Source organism: Homo sapiens, chromosome 11, assembly GCF_000001405.40.
Source record: "Homo sapiens chromosome 11, GRCh38.p14 Primary Assembly".
NCBI classification, from domain to species: Eukaryota; Metazoa; Chordata; class Mammalia; order Primates; family Hominidae; genus Homo; species Homo sapiens.
In genome coordinates, this window is record NC_000011.10 from 78498224 (window position 1) to 78515092 (window position 16869).

General features: G+C 39.5%; 1 protein-coding gene across 26 annotated transcripts in view, besides 1 other annotated feature; it reads right to left on the reverse strand.

Moving 5' to 3' along the window:
- The window catches only part of NARS2 (asparaginyl-tRNA synthetase 2, mitochondrial), a 138897-nt gene that overhangs the window by 62256 nt on the left and 59772 nt on the right, over positions 1-16869 (reverse strand). The window lies entirely within an intron of this gene.
- Positions 10185-10382: a silencer, noted in NCBI's record as "fragment chr11:78219454-78219651 (GRCh37/hg19 assembly coordinates)". NCBI's record gives its function as "represses an EF-1alpha promoter that drives an FKBP-Casp9 reporter gene in an ReSE screen in HepG2 liver carcinoma cells {active_cell/tissue: HepG2}" and the evidence as "EXISTENCE:reporter gene assay evidence [ECO:0000049][PMID:32094911]".

Sequence of the window (16869 nt, forward strand, 5' to 3'; positions counted from 1 at the left end):
TGTAAACACAGTAAGCAGTGACCAGATTTTATTTGATACACCTTGAAATACCCTCGCCTCTTGAAACATTTAACACTATTTTCCTAGTACTGTCCTCGTTTTCCTTCTAAATACTGCTCTGACCTCTATTTCTGCCTCCTTTTACATGCCGCTTTAGCTGTTCATTAAGCAGTAGCACTCCTCCAAAGTTACCCCTAGAACCTTTAACTTTTCTCCCGATACTTTTCCTTATATGATTTCCCTTGGCCAATGATTTCAGTTAACTACTTACTGGCACACACAAATTTATACCTTCTAACCAGCCCTCTTCTCTAAGTTCCAAAAGTATATATCCATCTGCTTATTTGGTCCTTCCACTTGTCACAAACTGAACTCATGTCTCCCCCCAGCTTCCACTTTGATTTCAGTCGTCTCCCAACCTTCCTAGGCCAATCTTCCCAATACGCTCTTTTTTTTTTTTTTTCCTGTTGGTTTGGTGAAAAAACCAATATGCTCTTTAATAACACCAAGTACTACTTACTGTTCACAGCACCTTTCAAAATAAAAAATTTACATCAATCGATGTGATTATTTAACATCCATCTCCATTATATTGAAAATTTCATGAGCGACTATATACATATATATATATTTTATTTGGTTCATTATGGCATCCTCATCCTCAGTCTTTTTTTTTTTTTTTTTTTTTTTTTTGAGATGGAGTCTCGCTCTGTCACCCAGACTGGATGACACGATCTCGGCTCACTGCAGTGGCACGATCTCGGCTCACTGCAAGCTCCACTACCCAGGTTCATGCCATTCTCCTGCCTCAGCCTCCCGAGTAGCTGGGACTACAGGCGCCCGCCACCACGCCCGGCTAATTTTTTGTATTTTCAGTAGAGACGGGGTTTCACGGTGTTAGCCAGGATGGTCTTGATCTCCTGACCTCGTGATCCGCCTGCCTCGGCCTCCCAAAGTGCTGGGATTACAGGCGTGAGCCACCGCGCCCGGCCCATCCTCAGTCTTAATCTAGTGCCTAACACATACTAGTCAATATTTGTCAAATAAGTAATTCTTCTTCTATAAAATATGCTGATCCCCAAATTGCACTTTTTTTAAGAGATGGGGTCTCCTATGTGGCCCAGACTGGACTCCTGGGGTCAAGTGACCCTCCTGCCTCAGGCTTCCAAGAAGGAGGAATTACACATGCCCACTATGGCACCCAGCTTCCCAAATGAATATTTGAAACAGCAGTGGGATGGGATTAAGGGTAGAAAAGGAAGGTAAATAGAATATCAATTACTAAACAAAAAATAATTCTGTTCTGCGAAATAATAGTTCACAGAAGGCACTAGAGAGTAACAGCATCAGTTTTTAAAAACTGTCACATATTTTTGCTCTGTCAACAAGAAAATCTTTGAAAAGGACTAGAGCGGGTGAACTGCTCTAATTAGAACAAATTTTAAATTAACTATAACATTACTACAAGAAAATAATTATCCTAGTCTATTCTATGTAAACACAGCAGTATATGATTCTTTGGCTCCTGAGTGAAATGCCACTTCATTCCTGCAACAATGGACTCTTCAGGACTGACTGGATATGGGGGCTTAGAAAATAACATTATTTGAAAAGGTCACAAATTTGACTGTTCTTTCTAACTGAATATTTATCCTTATGTCTCAATAAGACACTAAAATTACCTATATAATTTTGTCAACGGCACTTACTCGTGTCGAAATTATCCCTCTTACACCTCTCATATTTAGTGGTCCTTGCTCTGAGGACCACTAAAGAGAACAACATGTAAGTACTTTACTTTAGTTACATGTACTACATAGTGTTTAAGTGTTATTTAAGTCTACAAATATTTCAAAGGTTCCCTTTTCTCAGGCCTGATACTACAGAGGTAGAGGAGTCATTATAGCATTGAACTATCAACAATTTCCTGGACTCAAGTCCTGTCCAGATGACTCACTTTTTTAAGGTTATGGTACTGATTAAGAACATGTAGTCTAAAGACCCAAGCTGAAATCATGGCTCCTCCACTTATGAACAAACTAAGTTCTTAATTTCTGTAAGACTAAATTTCCCCATGCAAAGATGAGGGTGAGTATATAAATGTCATGGAGGTTATTATAAAGATGAAATGAAATAAATACATCAAAAGGTTAACCTAACACCAACTATATGGTAAGAGAACAAATGGATCAAAGTTACTTTTTGTCTCCTTCCTTTCCATCGGGCTACAGTTTGCATTTGCTTGATTTTATTTATTTATTTTTTTTTGAGGCAGGGTCTTGCTCTATCACCCAGGCTGGGGTGCAGTGGCACAAACACAGCTCACTGTAGCCTCAACCTCCTGGGCTCAAGCAATCCTCCTGCCCCAGCCTCTTGAGTAGCGAGGACCACAAGCATGTGCCACCAAGCCCAGCTAATTAAAAATTTTTTTATAGATGGGGGTTTCACCATGTTGTAAAGATCCCTTTACACTTCAAATTATTGTAGATCTCAAAGAAATTTGGTTTATCTAGGTTGTATCTACCAACGTTTACTACTAAAATTGATAAATTAAAATTATGTTTGTGTTACTTAAAAATAATGACAAGGCCGCACACGGTGGCTCATGCCTGTAATCCAAACACTTTGGAAGGCCGAGGCGGGTGGATCTTTTGAGGGCAGGATTTGAGACTAGCCTGGGCAACATGGTGAAACCCCGTCTCTACAAAAAATACAAAAATTAGCCAAGCGTGGTGGCATGCGCCTTTAGTCCCAGCTAGCTGGGAGGCTGAAGCAGGAGGATTGATTGAGCCTGGGAGGTTGAGGCTGCAGTGAGCTGTGATAATGTGACTGTGCTCCAGCCTAGGTGACAGAGTGAGACCCTGTCTCAAACACACATACACACACACAAAACAAAAACAATGACAAGTCCATTATGTGTTACAAATAACATATTTTTTATGAAACATAATTTTTTCCCAAAACAAAAAAATTAGTAAGAGGAGTGACACTGCTTTACACTTTTATAAGTTTCTTTAATGTCTGGCTTAACAAAAGGTGGCTAGATTCTCATACCTACATTTGCATTCAATCTGTTGCACTATCACATGCCATGAAGACTGGAAAATACTGTATATAAAATCTTGAGACAATGAGAATGAAAAAGGCAGTTACTGTCTTAGTATTAGAAAATAGTTTCAACTTCAAGGATTCCCCTGAGAGGATGTGAAGCCCCAGAGATATCCAGACCATATGCTGAGAACCACTATCTTTGGCAATGGTTCTTAATGAAGAGTATTAGTTCAGGGCTCTACCTCTGAAGACCTCTCTTCAGAAAGTCTAAGAAGGGTCCTGGTCACGGATATATTTAAAAGCTCTACTAGTAATTATGATGTGAATCCTGATAAAGAAATACTGCCCTAAAAAAGGTTTAGACCTCTAATTAATATACTTTTTAAAAGGTTTTTTGATGGCTAAATTTTGAAAATAAAAAATAACAATGTTGGCAAGGATATAGAGATACTCCTTGTATACTGTTGGTGTAAACGTGAAATTGTATAACTGTTATGGAAAACAATTTGGTGGCTGCTCAATAAATTAAACATAGAATGACCCAACTATTTCCTCCTGAATGTATACCTCAAAGAAATAATAAAGACAGGTATTCAAACAAAACTTTGTACATAAATGTTCATAGTGGCATTATATAGCCAAAAAACAGAAATAACCCAAATATTCATCAATGAATGAATAAACTAAATGTGGTATATTCATACAATGGAATAATTTTCAGCCATAAAAAAGAAATACTGATATATGCTATAACATGGATGGAAACACTAGGCTAAGTGAAAGAAGCTAGACACCAAAGGCCACATACTATATGATTTCCTGTATATGAAATATCCAGAAAAGGCAAATCTATAAAAACAGAAAGCAGAAAGTGGTTGCCAGGGATTGGGTGGGGAGGAAATGGAGAGTACACTATTTTACATGAGTTGTTATAACAAAATATCACAGACTGGGTGCCTTAAACAACAGAAATTAATTTTCCTGCAGTTCTAGAGGCCGGAAATCCAAGACCAAAGTGACAGCAGGGTTGGTTTCTGGTGAAGCCTCTCTTTCTGGTTTGCTGAAGGCTGCCTTCTTGCTATGTCCTCATGTGGATTTTCCTTTGTGCACAAGCACCCCTGGTATCTCTTCTTATATGGACACCAGTCATACTGGATTATGGTTCTACCCTTATGTCCTCATATAACTTTACTTTTTAACAGTACTATCTTCAAATACAATCACATAGGGGTTAGGACAATACAACATATGAATCCTAGGGGAGAGGCAATTCAGTACATAACAGAGAACAACTGCTTTACGGGTATGGGCCTTCCTTTTGGGGTGACGGAAATGTTCTGGAACTAGACAGTGATGTTGGTTGTACAATGTCACTAATGGTAAATTTTATCTTATGTGTATTTTGCCACAACACATTTTTTAAAAGTTGACTGAGGCCAGGCGCGGCGCCTCACGCCTGTAATCCCAGCACTTTGGGAGGCCAAGGCACGTGAATCAGCTGAGGCTGTCAGGAGTCTGAGACCAGCCTGGCCAACATGGTGAAACCCTGTCTCTACTAAAAATACAAAAATTAGCCAGGCGTGGTGGCATGCCACTGTAATCCCAGCTACTTGGGAGGCTGAGGCACAAGAATTGCTTGAACCCAGGAGGCGGAGGTTGCAGTGAGCCAAGATCACACCGCTGCACTCCAGCCTGGGTAACAGAGTGAGACTGTCTCAAAAAAAAAAAAAAAAAAAGGTTGAATGACGAGATTGTCTATCAAGCACTTTACACACATTTCATTTCATCCTTGCTACCCTATAAGAGAGGTGATTTCATTCCATTTTATAACTTCAGAAACTGAGGCTTAGACAAGTGAGTAAATAGTCCAGAGCACCACAATCAAAGCTGCTTTAACATAAGCAGTCCAAATCCAGGGCCCACTTACTGTACTGCTGCAAGTGTGCACTCTTAAAAAGTAAAAAGTTCAGCACAGATGCTGAATGGTACACTGAGCTCCTTCACCCAGACTGGAGTGCAGTGATGCAATCTTGGCTCACTGCAACCCCCGCCTCCCAGGTTCAAGCGATTCTCCTGTCTCAGCCTCCCGAATAGCAGGGACTACAGGCGCGTGCCACCACGCCCAGCTAATTTTTGTATTTTTAGTAGAGGCGGGGCTTCTCCATGTTGGCCAGGCTGGTATTGAACTCCTGACCTCAGGTGATCCACCCGCCTCAGCCTCCCAAAGGGCTGGGATTACAGGCATAAGCCACCATGCCCAGCCTGATCTAGCTCTTCTAATTACCACTTATGATTGAAAGTAAAAGGCACAGATAATTGATACGAAAGGTAGTATTTCATAAAAAGGGTACACTTGCAGAGGCCTATATACTATGAATGAAATAAAAATTTTCTAATACTCTTGACAGACTCCAAATCAAACAGAGCTTGGTTTATGAACATAAAAGCACAAAGGAACCATCAAAAAGTAGAAATAGGCAAACTGCTTTTACAGAAGGAGTTAGCCTATAGAAAGAATATATGAAAAATCCCTCTTCATTTTCCCTGAATTGGAGGAGTAAGAAGGAGGAGGAGGAGGAGAAGGAAGAAGAGGAAGAATGGCATGCTCTGCCATGCCAGGCCTTGTAGGCTGCATGAATACTAAAAATGAACACTCTTAATGATAGGATCATGGGATGACCTATACAAAAGGCAGAGAAACTCTGGGTTGAACTATTTGAACCGTTATCTCCAAATTCCCAAGTTACAGCCAACCCTCCACAGCTATATAGGAAATACCAGTATCATCAAATCATACATATATTTTGGCTAAGAAAACTTCTGAGATAACTCTTTCTACAGTAGTCCCTAAAATACTATCTGCCTAAAATTCAAATTTTTCCACTGAACTTCACACCATATTGTCCTAAAGGAGAATCAGGAGGAAAGCCCAGAATAATTACCCAGTTGAAGAAACTAAATAAAAGTCCCTAAAGAATGTTCCAGAAACAAAAAACAAGTCTCTACCTCCTGATCTTTATCCTAATTCACATGCTAAATCCACCTCTTAAATGTGAAATAAGGCTGGCTTGGGTTTTGCATATTCTCCAACTGTAAAGATCTATGTGACACATGTCTGTTTATCCGTCCCTTACACCTGTTTCATGTGGCAAAACACCAGTTTTTTTTTTTTTTTTTTTTTTCTGTGTAGGGTATATGTGGGAAATAAAATAGGAATTGACATCAAAATAAATAAAACTAATGTGGCTAGCAACGAATACATGTGACTAAGCTTATTTGTTATCAGCTTTTACTTGTGAGAGGGAAGGAAAACCATGACTGAATTTATTGGCAATTTTTTCTAAAGGAGCAAAGATAAAATTTCCTTTTATTTTCTGTAAAACACATACAAACACACATACACATATTATTTTTTCCTACAGTCTTTGTTACAGCACATCTTCTACAGCCTATGAGGCATTTCTATTAAGTGGTTCCCTAAAAACAAGCAAATATAACACCGGTGAAGAGAGAAATTTAATCTGTTCGTATCTATCAACTTTAGGGTGATCACAGGTCTTGGTTTGCCCAGGAAAAAACCATTTTATGCTGACTGCTCCAGAATAACTGTTATCAGCCCTCCCTTTCACTCTTTAAAGTGTCCTTGTTTAGATGCCCCAGCTCTGCCCCCAGAACTGCACTTAAGGTTGTTAGTGGGTTTCAGTGAAGTAAAATACACGGAAATGTTTCCGTGGTTTCTATAATTCATGCACACAGTTCACAGGTAAATTTTTACAATTTTGACTTAAAAAAAAAAAAACCACTAAATTTTCTGAATTCATAGCAAGAGAAATTCACACCCACTGCATGAAAATGTAAAATGAAGCCAGGAGTGGTAGCTCATGTCTGTAGTTCCAACAGTTTGGGAGACTGAGGAGGGAGGATCACTTCACCCTAGGAGTTTGAGACCAGCCTGGGCAACATAATGAAACCTTGTCTCTTAAAGAAAACAAAATACACACACACACACACACACACACACACACACACACACACACACACACACACACATACGTATGTATATATCTTATGTTAAAAGAGAAAAAGAAATTTCAGTTTCACATAATAAGGGTACTTTAAGATATCCTAACAGATCCAATAGCATAGTATTTCAAGTTTTTAAATGCATTTTCTGATGGAGTTTTTTTTTTTTAACTGATTTTTCCCCCCAACTAGAATATACTGGTGAACTAAATCAAAAGCATGGAAGTAATTCAAGCTCACAGGTTATAGCAGCAAAGAAGGAATGGATACAGAAGCTTAGGGCCTAGCTATCTGTCTGTATCTTATCATCATTATCTACCTGAAGTCATATTGATTTATTCATTCAACAAATATTTATTAGACTACTAATCACTGTGGAAAATACAGAGGTAAATCAGGTATGGCCTGTACCTTCAAAAAGTTTATAGACTAGCAGGGTCTTCCCTGACCTAAAAATACAAGCTAAGATATAAAATCCCTAGGAAAAAACATGGAAGAAAAATGTTGGCAATCTTTTGGACAGGATAAAGAAATTCATGAACCACATAAGAAAAAGACTATAATACACTAACAGAATAAGAAGCTTCTGGTCTTCAAAAAAACTATTTTAAAATGGAAAGAAAAGGCAGACTGGGGAAAAAAAGTACACCACCTATATCTGATAAAGGGCTTGTATCCAGAATATATAAAGAACTCTTACAACCCAATAATAAAACAAACAACCTAGTAAAAATTGGATGAAAAAAATTGAAAAGATAGTTCAAAAACAAGATATATGAACAGCCAGTAAGCACATGAAAAAAATGTTCAACAGTACTGGTCACTACAGAAATACAATTTAAAACCACAATGACATATCCTATACTCACTAGAATGACTATAATTAAAAATACGACATCATCTTTTGTCAAAGACGTGGACCAACCGGCATCCTCATCCACTGCTAGCGGGCATGTAAATAATACAATTACTTCAGCAAATTACTTGGTAGATTCTTACAAAGTTAAGCATTAACTTAATTCCTAGTTATTTACCCAAGGGAAATAAAAACATATGTCCACACACAGACTCCTGCATGAATTTTCAGAGAGCTTCATCATCACAATAGCTCCACACGCAGGAAACAACTAAGTATCAAACGACAGATGGATTGACAGTATTTTGGGAAGATGGCAGAGAAGAAACCACCAGGAATCTGTCTACCCACCTAGACAAGTGCACTAGTAGTATTTGTCTGATTTAACTGTTTTGTTTTGAGATGGAGTCTCGCTCTGTTGCCCAGGCTGGAGTGCAGTGGTGCAATCTCAGCTCACTGCTACATTCACCTCCTGGGCTCAAGCAATTCTCCTGTCTCAGCCTCCTGAGTAGCTGGGACTACAGGCAATGTGCCACCATGCCCAGCTAATTTTTGTATATTTAGTACAGACAAGGTTTCACCATGTTGGCAAGGCTGGTCTCGAACTCCTGACAGCCTCAGGCGATCCACCTGCCTCAGCCTCCGACAGTGTTGGGATTACAGGCATCCGCCACTGCACTTGGCCTGATGTAACTGTTTTTGAAACTTGCAGTCTATGGAATACCCGCAACTTCCAGAGAAAGGCTTATACAGTAAATTGTAGTTAGTTTTGGTCAATTTCAGCTCTTAGCACAGTAGCAGTTGCCCATACCCCTCTCCCAGCCCTGAGGGAGGCAGCTGTGCACGTCTTCCTGGAACCCCGTGCACACAGCTTGAGGGAGCTGAGTTGGAGAAAAAAGGATCCTCCAAATACTGGGAATCTAGGCCTAGATTGCTGATTGTGGTTTCTAATCACAGAGATACAGAGAGGCAGTCACCTCCTCTGATTGTTACACGCCCCTCCCCACCCCCCACCCTGCCCCGGTATTATTTAAAGAGCCAGCGGACTTCTCCACTTCATTTTTCTTTTATTTTCCTTTGGGAGTCAGACATTAAAGACTAGGATGGTCAAAAACAACTGCATATATGGGGAAAATGAGAAAGTGATGGCACCTGCCTAGGGAAAGAATCAGGCAGGCTCAGAAAGACCTGAGAAGACATTAAGTTTATACTTTGGGCTGAAGCCTGGCATAGAGACAGCCTTCAACAATTTAAAAAAGAAGTCCAAAAGAATAAATAAAAACAGCAAGCCCTGGGGAAGAGAGAGAATTTGATTTCCACAGTTCTCACATGATTAGATACAGATGCCCAGTTTTCATTTCTTTTATTCTTTTTTTTTTTTTTTGAGACACAGTCTTGCTCTGTTGCCCAGGCTGGAGTGCAGGGGCGCAATCTCTGCTCACTGCAAACTCCGCCTCCCGGGTTCACGCCATTCTCCTGCCTCAGCCTCCCGAGTAGCTGGGACTACAGGCGCCTGACACCATGCCTGGCTAATTTTTTGTATTTTTAATAGAGACAGGGTTTCACCATGTTAACCAGGATGGTCTCGATCTCCTGACCTCAGGATCCACCCACCTCGGCCTCCCAAAGTGCTGGGATTACAGGCGTTAGCCACTGGCACCCAGCCCAGTTTTCATTTTTAAAAAAATCACAAGGCATATAAAGAAAGATAAAAATATGACCCAGAGGGGAAAAATAAATCCACAGAAATTGTCCCTGAGAAAGATCTCAAGCCAGATCTACTCAAAAAAGATTTTTAAACAACTGTCTTAAAGACACTTAAAGAACTAGAAGATGTGGAAAAAGTCAAGAAAATGATGTATGAACAAAATGGCAATCTTAATAAAAAAAGAACACCTAGGAAAACAAAAGGAAATTCTGCAGCTGAAAAGTATAATTGAAATGAAAATTTCACTAGAAAACCTCAAAGGCAGATTTCAGCAGGCAAAAGAAAGAATCAGCAAACCTGAAGATAAGACAATGGAAATTATGGAGTCTGGGAACAGAAAGAAAAGACTGAAAAAAAATGAATAGAGATTAAGTGACCTGTGGGATACCACAACACGACCCAACATATGCATGTGGGAGTCTCGAAAGGAGAAGAGAGAAAAAGGCAAAGAGAGTATCTGAAGAAATATGTAATCTCAGTACTTTGGGAAGCCGAGGCGGGCAGACCACCTGAGGTGAGGGGTTCGAGAACAGCCTGGCCAACATGGTGAAACCCCGTCTCTACCAAAGATACAAAAATTAGCTGGGCATGGTGACACATGCCTGCAATCCCAGCTACTCAAGAGGCTAAGGCAGGAGAATCACTTGAACCCAAGAGGCAGAGGTTGCAGTGAGCTGAGATCATGACACTGCACTCCAGCCAAGTGACAGAGGGTGACTCCATCTCAAAAAAAAAAAACAAAAAACAAAAAAAAAACCATTGAAGAAATAATGGCTGAAAACTTTCCAAATCTGATGAAAGATATGAATGTATAAACACCCAAGAAGTTCAATGAACTCCAAGATGGTAAGATAACCTCAAAGAGGTTCATGCCAAGAAACATTATAATCAAACTTTTGCAAGCCAAACACAAAGAATCATGAAAGTAGGAAGAGAGAAGCAACTCATCTCATGTAAGGAATCTTCAATAAGATTATCAACAGGCCAGGCACAGTGCAATCCCAGCACTTTGGGAGGCTGAGGTGGGAGGATCACTTGAGGCACGGAGTTTGAGACCAGCCTGGCCAACAGGACGACATCCTGTTTCTATTAAAAATACAAAAATCAGCTGGGTATAGTGGTGCACGCATGTAGTCCCAGCTACTCAAGAGACTGAAGCAGGAGAATCACTTTAACCCAGGAGGTGGAGGTTGCAGTGAGCCAACAGCACTCCAGCCTGGGCAACAGAGTGAGACTCTGTCTTTAAAAAGGAAAAAAAAAAAAAAAAAGATTATCAACAGATTCCTCATCAGAAACTTTGGAAGCTAGAAGACAGTGGGCAGATACATTCAAAGTGCTAAAAGAAATGTCAATAAAAAATCTTATATTTGGCAAAACTGTCCTTCAAAAGTAAGGGAGAAAGTAAGACATTCCTACTTAAACAAAACCTAAAAGAGTTTGTTACTGGACATGCCCTGCAAGAAATGCTCAAGGTGGTCCTGCCGGGTGAAATGAAAGTACACTAGGCATTAGCTTGAAGCTATATAAAGAAATAAAGATCTTAATCAAAGTAAACACATGATTATAATTGTAAAGATTAATTTGATGCCTCATAATCAAATTATATAAACCTGATGCCTCAGGTGTATATAACTGCTCTGTTTGTTTTCTAACTGACTTAAGAAACTAATACACTTTAAAAAAAAACCTAAAACTAGTATTATTGCAAATTTTGGTTGTAAATCCACATTCTGTTTTCTACAGCTTTAATTTAAGAGGTTAATGCATTTCAAAGATTTATTCATGTATGTTTTGGGGCACACCTGTATAAAGATGTAATTTTGTGATATCAACAACTGAAAGGGGTGAAGAAGGGGCTGTTAAAAGTGCAGTCAAGAATCCCTTGAACTCAGGAGGTGGAGGATGCAGTAAGCTGGGATCGTGCCACTGCACTCCAGCCTGGGTGATGGAGTGAGACTCTGTCTCAAAAAAAAAAAAAAAAGAAAAGAAAAGAAAAGAAAAGAAAGTGAGAGTTTTTGTATGTTACTGAAGTTGAGCTGGTATAAATTCAAGTTAGATTGTTATAATTTTAGGATCTTCAATGTACTCTCCATGGTAACGACAAAGAAAATAGCTATAGAATATATGCAAAAGAAAATAAGAAAGAAATTTAAATGTTTCCCTACAAAGAACCAACTAAAGAAAAACACAGTAATGCAGAAAACAAGGGACAAAAAAGCTATAAAGTATATAGAAAACAAATAGCAAAATGAGAGAAGTTCCTCCTTACCAGTAATTACTTTAAATGTAAATGGATTAAACTCTCCAGTCAAAAGACAGAGATTGGCAGAATGGATTTTTTAAAATGACCCAATTATATGCTGTCTATAAAAGATTCACTTTAGATACAAAGAACAAATAAACTGAAAGTGAAAGGATGGAAAAAAAATTTTCCATGCAAATAGGAGACAAAAGAGAGCACGGGTGGCTATACTATTATCAAACAAAACAGACTAAATACAAAAGGGTTACAAGAAACAATGAAAGACATTATGCATTAATAGGTTCAATACAATCAGACACAACAGTTATAAATACTTACATACCTAATGATGGACCATCAAATATAAAGCAAAAAATGACAGAATTGAAGGGAAAAAACAGTTTTACAATACTATTGGAAACCTCTCAATAATGTAAAGAACCAGACAGAAGATAACTAAAAAGAGAGAGAGAGGACTTAATACAATAAAACCAGATCTAACAAACATATACAGAACACTCTTCAAATGATCAAAATTTTCATATGTGCATGTGTTATTTATTCAAACTAAAACTGAATATATATTCATTAAAAATGTGTGCTAGTGGTTATAAAAATTGTGAATGTACTTAATGTCACTGAACTACATACTTAAAATGGTACAACAAATGCAAAAAAAGAGAACGAATTAACAAATTTGATGGTATATCCATTCAGTGGGATAATATTCAGCAAAGAAAGGAACAAACTACTGGATAAATCTCAAAAGCATTATGCTGAGTGAAAGAAGACAGCTACAAAGAATAAATACCATACGATTTCATTTATATAAGATTCTAAAAAAACGAAAATCTAACCTATGGGGACAATAGATCGGTGGTTGCCTAAGAGCAGGGGTGGGGAAAGAGACTCGAGCCAAAGGAAAACAAGGAATTTTTTGAGTGACAGAAATAATTCTTTTTGTTGTTACTGTGGTTGTTTTTTGTTTTTTTCAGACAGGGTCTTATTCTATTGCTCAGGCTTCAGTGAAGTGATACAATCATGGTTCACTGCAGCCTTGACCTCCTAGGCTCAAGTGATCCTCCTTCCTCAGCTTTCTGGGTAGCTGAAACTACAGGCATGTGCCACCACGCTCAGCTAATTTTTAAAATATTTTGTAGAGATGGAGTCTCACTATGTTGCCCAGGCTAGTCCTGAACTCCTAGACTCAAGAAATCCCCTCGCCTTGTCCTCCCCAAGTGCTGGGATTACAGGTATAAGCCATGTCACCCAGCCTAATTCTATATCTTGATCATGGAAGTAGTTACTGAGGTGTAAGAATTTGTCAAAACAGGCCAGGCGCAGTGGCTTATGCCTGTAATCCCAGCACTTTGGGAGGCCAAGACAGGCGGATCACAAAGTTAGGAGATTGAGACCATCCTGGCTAACACAGTGAAATCCCATCTCTACTAAAAATACAAAAAATTAGCCGGGCGTGGTGGCAGGCGCCTGTAGTCCCAGCTACTCGAGAGGCTGAGGGAGGAGAATGGCGTGAATCCCGGAGGCGGAGCTTGCAGTGAGCTGAGATCGCCCCACTGCACTCCAGCCTGGGTGACAGAGCGAGACTCCGTCTCCAAAGAAAAAAAAAAAAAGAATTTGTCAAAACATGTATTTAAAATATATTTAAAACGATGTATTTTAAATGGGTTCATTTTTATTATAAAGTATACCTCAATAAAGTTGATTAAGAAACAACATTAACTGGTATGGGCTGGTTGAAGGTATTTAAAAAAAGAAAAAGAAACAAACAATGATAACAGGAATAACTTACCAATAAACTGGTTTATTCTGCTACTTAATTATTTAAACTATAATCTTGTTCCAACTATTGTATAAAAGCAGAAGTATCAGGCTCCAGGAACCCCAGAAGGGGCACAACAACAACGTCCTTCCAAGAACAAAAGAATCTGGAACATAGTGACACCTCATTGCCAACATAAATGACTACAGCTCTTAGGGCAGATTATACCCTAACTTGCTCTCACTTCTTAGTTCAGTTCTGACTTAGTCTTCAAACTCTGACAGTTAATTGATTTCTCTGTCTTAATTCTTTCCTCCATTCCAGGTGCTGATTTAGTTTAAACTTCTGATCTGTCTTGTGAGAGTCCTGAAACCCAGCAGCTTGTTCCAATCCTCTGCTTTGTATGAACTCCAGTTCTGTCAGTAATATAAAATAATTTGATTATTACCTGCCAGCTATTTCTTCCTGGCCACACTACCTTGGCTTTTCTCTGCAACTAGTCCTTTATAATTCACCCAAGGTTCTCCAGGACCCAGAGGCTCTCATTACCATCAACATAGCACCTAATATTTCAGTGCCTGCACAGGAGTAAACACTGGGCTTTACATGGTATCCAATGCTTACAGCAGCTCTGTAATGTGGCCACTATAATGTATTTTTATAGATTAGGAAGTGGAGGCTCGGTCATTAAGCTTATAAAACTAGTATATAAAGTAGCCAGAATTCCAATTTATCTCTGTACTGCATTTACCTCAACTAACACAATCATTCATTTGAACAAGATCAGTACTTTTTGGCAAGCATAACATTATCTTAGTAGCTACTTCATTCTCTAACAGCACTGGTCACCCTCTATATGAGACTATCTCATATTCTTTTAAAAAATTTTAAAATTTTTTAAATATTTTTAATTTTTGTGAATACATATTTATTCACAAATATGGGATACATAAGATATTGTGTACAGGCACTCAATCAGTAAAAATCACATCACGGAATATTGGGTATCCATTTCCTCAAGCATTTATTCTTTGTGTTACAAACAATCCAATTACATTTTTAGTTATATTAAAATGTACAATTAGGCCGAGCACAGTGGCTCACATCTGAAATCTCAGTAGTTTGGGAGGCTGAGGCAGGTGGATCACCTGAGGTCAGGAGTTTGAGGCCACCCTGGCCAACATGGTGAAACACTGCCTCTGCCAAAAATATAAAAATTAGCCAGGCATGGTGGCGGGTGCCTGTAATCCCAGCTACTCGGGAGTCTAAGGCAGGAGAATCGCTGGAACCTGGGAGGCAGAAGTTGCAGTGAGCCGAGACTGCACCACTGCACTCTAGCCTGGGTGACGGAGTGAGACTGTCTCAAAAATAAAATAAAATGTACAATTAAGTTATTGACTAGAGTCCCCTTATTGTGCAATCAAATATTAAGTATAAAATACTAAGGTCTTATTCACTCTTTCTTTTTTTTTTTTTGTACCTATTAACCACCCCCACTTCACTTGCACACCTGCCCACTACCCTTGCCAGCCTCTGGTAACCATCTTATTCTCTATCTCCATGAGTTCAATTGTTTTGATTTTCAGATCCCACAAATAAGTAAGAACACGTGGGCCGGGTGCGGTGGCTCATGCCTGTAATCCCAGCACTTAGGGAAGCCGAGGCGGGCGGATCACCTGAGGTTAGGAGTTTGAGACCTGCCTGGTCAACATGGTAAAACCACGTCTCTACTAAATATACAAAAATTAGCCGGGCGTAGTGGTGGGCGCCTGTAATCCCAGCTACTTGGGAGGCTGAGGCAGGAGAATTGCTTGAACCTGGGAGGCAGTTATAACTCCAATTACTGTACATATTGGTCTACTAAGGATTAATCTGATGCCTCATGATATAGTTGGGCTACCTGTCTCTGCCCCAATCTCATGTTGAGTTGTAATACCCAATGCTGGAGGTGGGGCCTTGTGGGTGGTTTCTGGATCATAGGGGTGGATCCCTCATGGTTTGATGCTGTGTTTTTGACGGTGGGTTCTCATGTGATGTGATCATTTAAAAGTATGTGACACACCCCCCTACACACACACTTGCTCCCATTCTCACCATGTGAGACGCATACTCCTTTGCCTTCTTCCATGATTAGAAGCTTCCTGAAGCCTCACGAGAAGCAGACACTACTATGCTTCCTGTACAGCCTACAAAACCGTTAGCCAATTCAACCTATTTTCCTACCAATTACCCAGTCTCAGGTATTTCTCTCTTTTTTGAGACAGGGTCTCACTCTGTCACCCAGGCTGGAGTTCAGTGGCACGATCTCTGTTCACTGCAGCCTCGACCTCCTGGACTCAATAAATCCTCGACCCTCAGCCTCCCGAGTAGCTGGGACTACAGGCGTATGCCACCTGTCTGGCTAAGTTTTGTATTTTTTGCAGAGATGGGGTTTTGCCATGTTGCCCAGGTTGGTCTCAAACTTCTGGGCTGAAAGTGATCTGACCACCTCAGCCTCCCAAAGTGTGGGATATCAGGCATGACCCAATGTGCCTGGTCAGGTATTTCTTTATAGCAGTGCAAAAATTGCCTAACACATCTCACTACAGTAACCTGCACTTGCTTTTAGAGAATATCAACAGGCACAGCATTTCAGGCACAATGTGTTCTATTTATATAATTGCTCAAAAGGCTCACTGGGAATTTTTTAAAACAACTCACATGAAACTTGCTTATTACAAAGGCACTCAATCCTTCATATACTTTTTCTGCTTAGCCAGACAGACCTCAGTGAATTAGGTAACAGAAGAGTGGAGTCCCATACACTTGAAATGGAGAAAAGGCAGGTTAGTATTCCCTTCACAAAGGAATTCAATACTAGAAACGGGTAGAGAATCCAGTATTTAGATTTCCAAAGGCGGCAAGCAGACACTGCAGAGTTAGCACATTAGACAGAGACACTAAATCATTATGCAAATAATGTATAACCTAACTAGCAATTAAAGAAAAGCAAATTAATACCATTCAAGCTAGTAAAAATGAAGTTAAAATGGTGAATTAAGCAGATATTTCTATTCACTTCTTCCTGAGACAACTTTAAAATAATAATAAAAAAACTAAAAGGAAGAATCATGAAGGGGGCCTTCAGTGGACAAGAGGTCGCGACAAATTACTGAAGGACAGAAAACAGATGGCTGAGTGATGACCAATATGGCAAAGCATGGAAGCTG